Source organism: Homo sapiens, chromosome 1 (genome assembly GCF_000001405.40).
Source record: "Homo sapiens chromosome 1, GRCh38.p14 Primary Assembly".
In the NCBI taxonomy this organism is placed as follows: Eukaryota; Metazoa; Chordata; class Mammalia; order Primates; family Hominidae; genus Homo; species Homo sapiens.
The window spans coordinates 152,077,461-152,089,667 of NC_000001.11; the positions used below are offsets into that span (position 1 = coordinate 152,077,461).

General features: G+C 45.4%; 1 protein-coding gene and 2 pseudogenes across 2 annotated transcripts; 1 reads left to right on the forward strand and 2 right to left on the reverse strand.

The window, feature by feature from the left end:
- On the forward strand, window positions 477-790 carry SPTLC1P4 (serine palmitoyltransferase long chain base subunit 1 pseudogene 4; annotated as a pseudogene).
- LOC100131107 (putative UPF0607 protein ENSP00000383783) lies at window positions 2,097-3,347 on the reverse strand (annotated as a pseudogene). Its single transcript, NR_172723.1, has one exon. The product of NR_172723.1 is annotated as a putative UPF0607 protein ENSP00000383783 (transcript).
- A 3,333-nt stretch (window positions 3,348-6,680) lies between these two features.
- TCHHL1 (trichohyalin like 1) lies at window positions 6,681-11,604 on the reverse strand. Its single transcript, NM_001008536.2, has 3 exons — window positions 11,560-11,604; window positions 10,546-10,703; window positions 6,681-10,083 (listed from the first exon to the last, which is right to left on the reverse strand). Exons 2-3 carry the CDS (start codon window positions 10,681-10,683, stop codon window positions 7,507-7,509), a joined length of 2,715 nt encoding a protein of 904 aa, NP_001008536.1. The 5' UTR covers window positions 10,684-10,703; window positions 11,560-11,604; the 3' UTR covers window positions 6,681-7,506.
- Window positions 11,605-12,207: the final 603 nt, after the last annotated feature.

Consider the following 12,207-nt stretch of genomic DNA (forward strand, 5'->3'; position numbering starts at 1 on the left):
AAAGACTATGGAGTTCAGAGGAGGATAAGATCTCCTCTGGCCAGGGCATCAGGAAAGGTTCAAGTAGTACTCTAGAGCTGCGTCCTGCCTGCCTCTGCCTCCCTGCTCCCCTGCCTCCTCTCTATCACATTATCTTCCATTATTACCTGGAATTGTCTGGTTTATTTATTATTGTTTGTCTCTCCCTTCCTTCAGTAGAATACAAGCTCCAAGATGACGAGCTAACTTGTTTTGGACACTGCTGTATCCCTAATGCTTCACCTAATATCTGGCACTAACATGGATTTTTTTTTTAAAGAAAATTTGGAATGAATGAATAAAGTGTCATTGGCATCAGATCCCATAAGACAAACGGGATTGGTCATTCAGGAAAAGTTGCAGGGAAAGATATCATTTTAGGTGAAGGGTACATGAAGTCCTACAGGGAATGGAGAATGAAAGATGGATCTAGAATATAGACTTAAGAAAAACTATAGAGGAAGCGGCTAACTATGGCGACTGCCACTGAGCAGTGGGTTCTGGTGGAGATGGTACAGGCGCTTTACGAGGCTCCTGCTTACCATTTTATTTTGGAAGGGATTCTGATACTCTGGATAATCAGACTTCTTTTCTCTAAGACTTACAAATTACAAGAACGATCTGATCTTAACAGTCAAGGAAAAAGAAGAACTAATTGAAGAGTGGCAACCAGAACCTCTTGTTCCTCCTGTCCCAAAAGACCATCCTGCTCTCAACTACAACATCGTTTCAGGACGGAGTCTTGCTCTGTCACCAGGCTGGAGTGCAATGGTGCGATCTCGGCTCACTGCAACCTCCACCTCCCGGGTTCAAGCCATTCTCCTGCCTCAGCCTCCTGAGTAGCCGGGACTACAGGCACAAGCCACCATGCCCACCTAATTTTTGTATTTTCAGTAGAGATGGAGTTTCACTATGTTGGCCAGAATGATCTCGATCTCCTTTTTTTTAATTAAAAAGTAAACTTTAATGTCGAAAATGCAAACTTGGGGAGGGCAGAAAGATCACACACAAGGCTGTCACTTCACACTTGGAAGGTTGCACAGCAGCCGGGCAGAGACGCTCCTCACTTCCCAGATGGTGAGGGGGCCGGGCAGAGGAGCTCCTCACTTCCCAGACGGTGCAGGGGCTGGGCAGAGGTGCTCCTCCCTTACAAACGGTGAGGGGGCCGGGCAGAGGTGCTCCTCACTTTCCAGACAGCGCCGCGGCTGGGCAGAAGCACTCCTCACTTCCCAGATGGGATGGTGGCCAGGCAGAGGCACTCCTCATTTCCCAGATGTTGAGGAGGCAGGGCAGAGGCACTCCTCACTTCGCAGACAGGACGGCGGCGAGGCAGAGGCGCTCCTCATTTCCCAGACGGTGAGGAGGCCGGGCAGAGGCACTCGTCTCTTCGCAGATGGGATGGCAGCGGGGCAGAGGCGCTCCTCATTTCCCAGATGGTGAGGAGGCCAGGCAGAGGCACTCGTCGCTTTGCAGACAGGACGGCAGCGAGGCAGAGGCGCTCCTTACTTCCCAGACAGGGTGGTGGCTGGGCAGAGGCGCTCCTCACTTCCCATACCGTGAGGCGGCCAGGCAGAGGTGCTCGTCACTTCCCAGATGGGGTGGAGGCTGGGCAGAGGTGGTGCTCCTCCTCAATTCCCAGATGGTGGGTGGCTGGGCAGAGGCGCTCCTCACTTCCCAGACAGGGCAGTGGCCAGGCAGAGGCACTCCTCACTTCCCAGAGTGTAAGGGGGCCGGGCAGAGGCTCTCCTAACTTCCCAGACAGGGTGGCGGCCTGGCAGAGGCACTCCTCACTGCCCAGATGGGGCAGGGCCCAGGCAGAGGTGCTCCTCACTTCCCAGACTGTGAGGCAGCCAGGCAGAGGCGCTCGTCACTTCCCAGACAGGGCGGGGGCTGGGCCGAGGCACTCCTCACTTCCCAGATGGTGGGGTGGCTGGGCAGAGGCGCTCCTCACTTCCCAGACGGTGGAGCAGCCGGGCAGAGGCGCTTCTCACTTCCCAGATGGTGCAGGCAGAGATGCTTCTCAGGTCTCAATCTCTTGACCTCCTGATCCACCTGCCTGGGCCTCCCGAAGTGCTGGATTACAGGTGTGAGCTACCACACCTGCCCTGCCGTCTCTTCTTTCTCCTCCTAAGCAGCTCTCTTAGTCTCCTGAATTTTGATGTTCTACTTAACACCCTCATGTTCTTACACATGTTGCCCTGCTGGAGGCGTCCTTCTCTTTGGGAAGCCTGACTCACCAACAGGGCCTCAGGAGATAGACATGGAAACTTAGCCGGTGGGGGCCCCTCGTCTCTATCCCACTTCAGTTGCAGGGGAGGGGTCGGTTGCAGCTGCAGCGGTGGCTCCGACAGTTTTCTTTTGTGGGAACTGTGGCTGGCAGCTCTGGATGGAGAAGACCTACTTGATCCAAGAGCTGCAGGATCCTTGGGCTGCATGTCCTCCCCCACCATCAGCAAGCCTGGAGAGCTGGGCAGGTGGTCTTTACCCAGCACCTTCAAGGCCGCCTTCTCTGGCCACAGGGAGCAGCCCGGAACTGGGGCAGGGAGCACTGTTGGAAGTGGGTCAGGCTTCCCAAAAGAAAGGATGCCTCCAGCAGGGCTGTGTGAACTGGCGACTTCATGGTCCTTGGAGTAGAAACTCACTGCATGCACCTGGGCCTTGTCAGTCTGGTTCTTTTCTATCAAGCTCTTGAGGTGGACATTTCCCTCCAAGGGCCTGGGATTGTACCAGGAGGAAGTGAGGTTTCCCTGAGTCTCCAGGAGACTAGAGGTGGAGGCTGCTTCCCCATTGCTACAGGGGCCCCTTTTATTGTCCTCCTGCCCCTGGGTCTCTACCTGGTCTTTCACCTCCGTTGCTTCTTTGGGCTCTTCTGCCCTCACCTCCATCTTCGGGAGCCTGGCTGGGATCACCTGCTCATCTAATGAAGGAAGTTGAAGGTTAAACTTGCCTCTCAGATGAGGGATCCTCACGGGGCTGAGGTGTCCAAACATCATGGAGTTGCAAGCAGACAGCATGGGTTTCTTCCTTGAAGGGGGGCTCCAGACCACAGGAGGCAGGACCCTCTGTGGGGTGCCCGTGTTCTGAGGGATAAGACACAGCCTCATAGGGGCGCCATCCCACCTGACTGGAAAAGAAGGCCCAAGATGTCGCTGACGGTTGAAGAGGAGTGGGAAACGGCCCACGATTCCCCGGGCAGGCACAGGTGCAGGAGCCGCTGGGTGAGCCCGGCCAGCTGGGAAGGCCTCACGGACAAGACAAGCAGGTTGCCGATGGCATGGCCAGGACCTGCGGCGGAACCAGGAACAAAATACGCTTAGTGAGTTGCCCATTTTGAGCGAGTTGTGCACAGACGAAACTAAGGGTCAGAAGCAGAGAGGATACTCCTAAGTCACCCACTTCTCTGTGGCCGGGTGCACACTGGGCATCTGGGAGTTTATGACATCACCATGGGGCTGGTGACAGAGCCAGGGTTGTGGAGGAGTGCTTAGGAGCCCAGCGAGGGTGCCTACAAGAGGGGTAAAAGGGCAAAGGGTGAGACCCTTCCACCGGTCCAGCTGGACTCTAGCCTCAGGGACGTCCTGCTCCTGGGGGCAGGTGTGTGGCCCTGGATGGGCCCCCCTGTGGGGCTGTTGGGGGTGCGGGGCTGATCTGCCAGAGCCCTTCCGCCTGGCGCCCGGCCCAGGTGCTGGCTGGCACCCAGTGGCCCTGTCTTGGCCGGCCCTGTCTCCCGGGTTACAGGGCCAGAACCTGGAAGCAGAGCGCAGGACCAGCCAGATCCCGCTAGGCTCCCCCGGGTCCTCTCCAGTGCCTCTGTGCCGCCTGGAGCCAGGCCCGCCTTCTCCATGGCTGCTGTGGCCTCAAGGGCCACCAGCCCCGCTCCGCAGGTTTCCAAAGAGAGGACGCGGTGCCCTGACCTGACTGGATGCGCCTCTTACCACATGCCTCCCTGGCAGGCAGTGTCTCCACTTTTTACAAATTTGCCTGAGACCATTCCTCAGGTCATTCAGGTGGTCATGGCCCAGCCAGGCTTTGAACCTGGGCTGTGTGATTCCACAGCTGGCGCTCTGGCCTGTGTGCCTCATGATCATGGATACAGCATCTATTCTTATTTTTTCCTGTAGTCCTGGGGTACTTAGCACCATGGCATATCTGTAATAAGCACATGCACACCTTGAAGGAGTTCTTCACTTCAGCATACAAGTTGACCATGGCATGCTCTGGGCTCCAGTCCTCTACAAAGATGTAGGGCAGGAACTACCAGTTGTCAGCACAGCACCATCCCACATTACTCTTCTAATGGAGCCTTTCACCCCAGATGTTCTTTCTTGTTTGATGGGAAGGATCCAAGTATGTAAAGATTATGTTCTAGATCAGCTTTGGTCTGTCCTAAAAGAAATTTGCCAGTGGATTATTCCATATGGATAAAAGTCAGTTTCTCTGGTCTTCCTGGAATGTGTCTAGAAAGCAAATACATTATTTACAAGTTCATAGTAGATCAATGTATTGGATTAAAATATGACAAACATAATTTGGTCATTGTGAGCATGCCAGCTCGGTCAACTATTCACCACACATGATGCCCTAAATATAACTCTAGGTTTTCTTATGCCCAAGAGAGGGACATACTTTTGGGTGTCTGGACTAGGAAAACATGTATGAAAAACCATTTGACCACTCTACATCTTGTTATTGGAGAATTGAAACCATCTATATTCAAAGATATTATTAAAAGGCAAGAAGTTAAAAAAAAAGAAAAACTATTGAGATAACAAAGTGGATTAGATATGAAGAATAAGACAAGGTAAATGATGATTCCAAAGTTTGTGCCTTTGAAGCATGATAGAATGAAGATTGAGAGAATGACAGTAGGAAGGAAATTGAGAAGACAAGCCAGTTTGTCTGGAAGTGGTTGACAATAGAAGGCGTCATATCTGTGAGCATTTGTAGAGACTGGATTGAAGTGCACAGTCAGGTTTGAACAAGGTGAATTGAGACTCATCAGTGTGAAAGAGATAATAGTAAGTTGGACCAAGCATGGGTTCTCACGAGGAGAAAGTTCATAAAAAGAAGAGTCCTTGGAAAGGGGGCACAGTCTTGGGCACTGGATGAGAGGAATTAACTAGGGAGATGGGGAAAGACCACTGAAGGGAGTATTTCATGAAAGACAGTCATCAATGCCCGATGTCCAAAACTGTGGAAGCTGGAGGTCTTTAGGCTTGTTGGATGGAGGGCAACATCACCTTCAAAGGAATACTTCTTGAAGGATGATGGCAAAAACATATATATATATATATATATATATATTCAGCAAACTTTTCTTCTTTCTGCCCACCATTCTATTAGTGCTGATTGCTGGAATGCTAAGAGAGTGTTTAAAAATTGTTGCTATTAAGTTTTTAATTTTTTCAGTTAAGAAAATAAAATATGCTTAGTACAGAAAATTTTGATTTCTTTTTCTATTTTAGTAGAGATTAGGTCTCACTATGTTGTCCAGGCTTGTCTCAAACTCCTGAGCTCAAGTGATCCTCCTGCCTTGGCTTCCCAAAGTGCTGGGATTACAGGCATGAGCCACTGCCCATTTATTTAATGCCGTCAGCAAACCATATAGGTAAACGTTTCTGCTTTTTGGCTGTTCTTGTTCCTCTGTGAGTTGTGCATCCTTTTCTATGACTGCCAGCACCACTGCCACTGGAGCTGTTTTGTCATTCACATTTTCTTCAATTCTAGTGAGGATTTCGAATGTTTATTGGCCATCTGTATAGCTTCTTTTGTGAATTTATTAATAATGAAGTTTTTCATTTTTATGGACTCAGATACTTATTGCCACATTGCTTGCCAAAAGGGATGACGAGTTTATGCTCTAGTATGTATATATTTATTTATACTAAAATTATCTATAATTATATATAAATAAAAATTATATATAATTTTATAAACTAAAAATTATGTATATTTTATAAACTAAAAATTAGTGTATAATTTTATAAACTGAAAATTATGTATATAATTTTATAAACTAAAAGTTATGTATATAATTTTATAAACTAAAAGTTATGTATATAATTTTATAAACTAAAAATTATGTATATAATTTTATAAACTAAAAATTATGTATATAATTTTATAAACTAAAAATTATGTATATAATTTTTTCCTTTAGTAAGTCTATGCTCTAGTGTAGTACATATGTATGTTTGTGTATGTGTATGTATATTAGAGCATGGACAAACTAAAAGAAATATATATATTTTTCTTTTTTATGAATTGTCTCATGTTTCTTGCTCATTTAAAGTAATATTTTTTTCAGATAGGGATATAATTCATATTTGAGTGTAGAATGAAAAGAGCTGAAAATATTGGAGGGGGAGGTTATATACTTGGATTTTAGGCTCTGGAAAATGTGAAGGTTGAAGTGGAAGAATACTGAACCTCGAAGGCAGAATGCAATGGGAGATGGAGTATTGGACTGCTTTTTGGCTTCAGGAAACATTGTATGATAACAATTTTATTCCTTTCCTGGGTCATGACTAAGCTTGAAGAGCATCATACTTTAATTATAGTCTTTTGAAAAAACACAAATAACTAAGATTGTTTTCGTTTTTGATCAGTGTCTCCAAGGCAAGACGGAGAATGAGGGGAAAAAAATGACCCAACAAAAGAAATTGATCATCAGGTTGTTTAATTATCAATTTTAATTTAATACCCTCATCAAACCATATAGGTAAACACTTAGTAGACTCACTGGATGGTTGGTTACAAGAGCTTCTTATAAAATCAAACATACTTTAGATTTGTGTTTTCTCTCATAATTATTCTTGATTGTTTATTTGAGCCAAAAGCTATGAAAAGTTTGTGTAAGGAGTGGGATTTAATAAAAATTTGTTGGATGAGTAATTGAAAGAATGAATCCATGGCGATAGATTCAGCTGCACCTGAACATGAGCAGAGTCATAAATTTACTTTAATCAAGTGCTAGAAAATCATAATTAAGTTATGGCATTGTCTAAAATTATTTTGAAGGATAAAATTTTAGGATGAACTTGAAATACTTCTAGGAAATGTCATGAAGCAGAGTAATCTATATATATGAATTAATATTTTATGATTATGAGATATTATTGCAGAGTCTTATAATTTCCTACTGCTCTATTTTAAATTCAATGAATCAGTTGGAAAAACTGGCACCTGCTAAAGATATGGAAGGAATTTTTCCATTTTTAATGACAGGTACATTGAGATAAACTGTCTCATGACAAAGCCCATTTTGGCATTTGGAAGTAGCATTGTTTGGTAGGAGTTTTACTGACTGTATTTGTTTGCTCAGATGTTTCTTTAGTGGTGTCCCCCACTGCTGAATATTTTATTATTTGTTTTTGTAGAAATTTAGGAAGAGAATTTAAAAGATTGTTAATCTGCATCTGAATGTGTACACGTGAGTATTGAGGGTGATTGGGAGAGAAATTGGGGGCATGTTGAGATGATAATGATTCATTGCTTTGTGGTGCTTGCCTCCCTTTGTAGTACCAGCCTCTCTCTCTGAGGGTGACCTTGCTTATCTTCCAAGGCCTGGGGAGCTGGTGTTTCCTGTGCACCAGCAGGACTCTCATCAAGTGGAAGTCCCCTGGTATATGGTTGTGATGCTTGGCTGTAGTTGAAAAAGACAGAACAATCTGAGATCTCACTGGTGAGGGATACACTGCAAAGCTCTGGGCCTGATGCCTGGGCTATCTGAACTTGCTTTTGATGCTCCTCTTGGGTTACATTTGTTTGCTGCAGTATCTTCTCCTGTAGGTACTGGTATAGTGGACTGGAATAGACTGCACCCCTCTCCACAGAACAGGGCTCTTGGTCTCTCTGCATCTGCTTTTCAAGACTTGACCAGGGGACTGAAGAATTGTGCTCTTTCTTGGCTGGACTTTTTTGGTCACCACCTTCTCCTGCCAGCTCTTGGGGACTTTCATCTTCCTCCTCTGATGTTACAGGTTCCTTTGTTTCAAGTTGTATCTTGAGGGAGGCTGAATTGTCCTCATCTAGACTTTCTAACAGAGTATTCTGGGCCTCTGTTGCTCTTCCTTTCTCTTCTTTGCTACTTGGGCCTTGGACCTTTAATTCATTTCTGCTATCTCCCTTTCCAGGGAGCTGCATTAGGGAAAGCTGGTCAGTGAAGTCTTCATCCAGGGCACCTGTGATCTCTATTTCCAGGGACTTTCTATTTTCATCTCCTGCTGTGGATTCCTGTGCTTCTGGGTGTCCATTGGGCTCCACAGCTGCACCTGGGCCTTTGGTCCCTGGGCCTTGATTCTTGTGTTCTCCTCTGGCAGGCTGTTCCTGGTCCTCTGTGAGCTGTACATCCTCTCCTCTGACTGCTGGTACCACTGCCTCCAGAGCTCTGTTTTTCTCACCAGGTGTTCCCTGCCTCTGGGTATCTGGGTTATTATTGTGACCTCCTTGCACAGACTCTCCATGTTGGTCCCCTTGACTCTGGGAGTCCCCTTGCACAGGCAGTTCACCTGTCTCTGAGCTGCTATTGCCTTCCTCTGAAGCCAGGCTGTTGGGAGTTTCAGAAGACCCCTCATCACTCTGTGTGAATGGTGACTCAGGGTCCTCCCCCTGGTAACCATCCTCCTCCTCAACTGGTTGGTCATGAGTCTTGGTGACCCTAGTATTTTCTCCTACAGACTGCTTCTCAAGTGGTGCTAAATCTTGTGTTCTTTCTCTTGCCCCCAGTGTCCTTTCTGCTGCAGGTGCGTTTTTGCTGTTCACAAATGCTTCTGCTGTGCCTTCTTTGGTGTGTTCTGCCTCTTCTCCTGAGACTGCTGTTCCTTCAAGTTCAGGGTGAGTCTGATCTCCTCCTTCTGAGCTTAGATATTGTGTCTCAGAACCTTTTTCAGCATCTTTTGATTTTGATAATCCTTGGAGTTCCTGATACTTCCCATCCTGTGTTTGGGTTTCCAGGACTAGTGGCCGAGTTTTTCTGTCACGTTCTTTCTGCCCTGCTGTTCCATGGGCCTCAGGACCTCTCCTCTCTTTCCTTTCATCTCTCATGTCAGATGTTTCTGAACCATTTCTGCTACCATATTGGACTGGCAGGTCCTTTGTTTCACATTCTTTTTCTTGGGTCTCAGATGTTCTGCCATAATCCTCAGGTTCACCCAAATTCTTTGTTTTAGCTGGTGTCTGGTCAGCATCCTTTCCTGGTTCTTGAGTGTCAAACATTCTACAGACATCCTTGGAATCAGTTGATTTCTGTGTCTGAGATGGTGACCTGGCAGCAGCTTGTTCTGGCAGGTCAGCATGCTGTGAACTGGGCTCATCTTCTCTTTGTAGGGGTGGTTCTTGTATATTAGAGTGTTTTTCCTTTTCTGTTCTAACTTCCTGATCTTCACATGGTCTTTGTGTTGCTTCTTTTGGTGGTGAACTTTGGGTTGCCAAGTTTCCTTCCTGTTCTCCAAACTGGTCTCTTATCTTGGAAACACTTTGCTCTCTGGCTGGTTCATCTCCTTCCTGGGAGATCTCCTTATCTTGTCCCTTCCTCTCTGTGGGACTGCTGGTCTTTTTTGATCCTGCCATTGGCTTATTTGTCTTAAGTTGGCCTTCATTGTCTTCTGTTGTTTGTATATCTTGAGCCACTTCCTGACTTTGTTCATCTCCTTCCAGGTGTTTGTTCTTAGGATCATTGTGTTCAGATGCTTCTCCTGGAAAGTTGTGAGTCTTGGCTTCTCTCCATGGGTCCACTCTGTTATTTCCAACTGCTCCACTTTCTTCAGGGATGAGCTGAGATGATGATGCCATTCCTGAAGGAAGCATCCTCTTTTCTTGAGTTGGTGAAGTTCCCACTGTCCACTGACCATCTCCGGTGGTTGCCTGAACATCCACATCATCTAGCTTCTCCTTCTCTGGTTTAGTCACCTGTCTTAGTTCAGAACTTAGTAATGATTTTATGTCAAGATAACAGAGGTTCAACAAGTTGAAGATTGCAAGAACAAATTCATCAAAACTGATGATGCCATTACTGTCAATATTCAGAAGATTTGAATTTTTTTCCACAGCATGAAGGACACAGGGCTGCATGAAAACACAGTGAGAAATCAGCTTATTTATATGTGGTCCAGTGTCCTAAGTGTCTCCCAAGAATCCTATTTTTCTGACCTCATTCCTCAGTAACTGGTTAACTTTCCCAGAACAGCAAGAACTTATTGGTTCTGCAAGCCATTTTTCATCAGAGAGCTATGCCTGAGAAAGAGCATTTACAACACTTGTGAGTTGCATTTTGATGCATAATGGTTTATGACTCCTTTCAGAAGTCAGCTTTGCAGAAGCAATAATCCCAGTGACGAAAACCTCTTTTTCTCTAAGTAATTGCACAGAGTATGGAACTGAGACTGAAAATAGTTGTTCAAGAGACAGTGAGTGCTGAGAACTGTTAGCTAGGTGTAAAATGGATGGGGATCACATATGCTCATCTTGCTTGGATTATAAAGAAAGGGTGAGTTGGAAAGAATTTACACAGCTCTGTGAGAAGCTCACCTGAAAAAAGTCCCCAAACTCGCCCTGGATGAGTTGTTTCAGCTCTCTGCCAGTCAGTGTTGCCCCGTTACTGTCCTCACTGGCATATTTGTGGAATGTCTCAATTACACAGAGGACATTTCTCAGGAGCTGAGGCATCTTTACAAACTCAGGAGAGGCTGTGAGAAAGAATAAACAAAGCTCATTTTCCAGGATGGGTCCTTCAGGGAGGAGATACCAAGATTATCCTTTTTGTTCCTCCCCCATCTCCACTGCAACCCCTGCTCTATTCTGTATCTTAAAATATTATATCTGAACTCCAGGGGTGATTTAGTATTGTACCAGACATTGTGGTGAAATCAGACCCAGCATAGGTAAGTATTAGAAGAGACAATTCACCCCACTCTTCAGTAAACAGCAACATTCATGTGCTCAGAGAAAGCTTCATTGCAAAAGGAAGGTGATAAGAGAACTCAAGCATAAGGATTGAAATGCATAAATGAAGCCAATAGAGTTGGACCCATTCTTCCAGCCTCATCCAAGAGTGTCTATCTGCTCTCCTCTCCCTTTGGCTCAGTCTAGCCTCCTGCGGTTAGGAGGGTATAACCTTTAAAGTTAGCAAAGCTTCTAGTGGAAAGATAAGTCACACCAAGAAAATTAACCCCTATGTTTGCAGGTGGTAACAACATGCTTTAACCAAGAAGACATGATTCCATGTCCCGACCCCTTATTCATTCATTTCCCATCCTTTAAATGCTTCTACATTTTCATTGCAATAGAGATCTGATCCTGTGCCTTGTTGAATAATATTCATGCCTATGACTTCTAAACAATTTATGTTTTTTTTAAAAAGAAAATGATCAAAGAAGTTCCATAATCAAGGAATGCATTTGGGTGGTTGGCGCTCCCAGTTTATTATTATTAATAGGGGTTGACATAGACTTAAAGTGTGTTTCCTTTGAAATCCTCTTGCAATCTCACATATAAGCAAAACAGCAACTGAAATCCCAAGTATGCTCAAGCAGATGGACTTACCTAGTTCACAAGCGAGAGCAGGTAGAACGTGGGGCAGCGGGCTGTGAGCTGACAGCAGGAGCTGGAACCTTTTATTGAGGTCCTAATTGCACAGTTAAGAAGGAGACACCCTCTGGGTCTAATGACCTGACATCACCACCAAATCCAGTCTCCCCTGCTCTGTTGTCAGTTGTCTTAATTTTATTTCCTTCTTTAGGCAGTTTCAATTAAATCTTAGCTTCAGATGCATCAAAAGAAAGGGGAGGGGGTTTCTTGATTCATTTACTGACTTTTGCAGATTATAGTTTTGAAGGCTCTTCAAGGTAGTGTTGGCTTCCCTCCCCCATTTTTTAACCTAAGGACATAATTACATTTCTGTCTGACAAATCATAGTGCTGGCAGGGACCTCATAAGTCATCTGATTCCTCTGTCTGCCCACAAGATGGCCCGTATTTGACCCAAACCTGAGAGATGGGTGTCAATCATGTGTTTAAAAATAAAGGCCCCCATTTAGCCATGTGACAAAAGTGGAGATACCAGTTGATTCAGATGTTTCAATGCTTTGCTCTCCTTGCCCAGAGGCAGAGTTAGAAAAAAAAAAAAATTCTTGCTTGGTGTGCAAAGCCTTGCTTACCTATGTTGTGCTATTTTAAAAACGTGATTGATATT

Bases quoted from the DNA above. Each gene is read 5' to 3' on its own strand.
- TCHHL1 (NM_001008536.2), bottom strand. From the start codon at position 10,683: ATGCCTCAGCTCCTGAGAAATGTCCTCTGTGTAATTGAGACATTCCAC. The intron at 10,084-10,545 runs GTGAGCTTCTCA...GTTTTCATGCAG, and splicing joins AGTTTGGGGACTTTTTTCAG to CCCTGTGTCCTTCATGCTGT.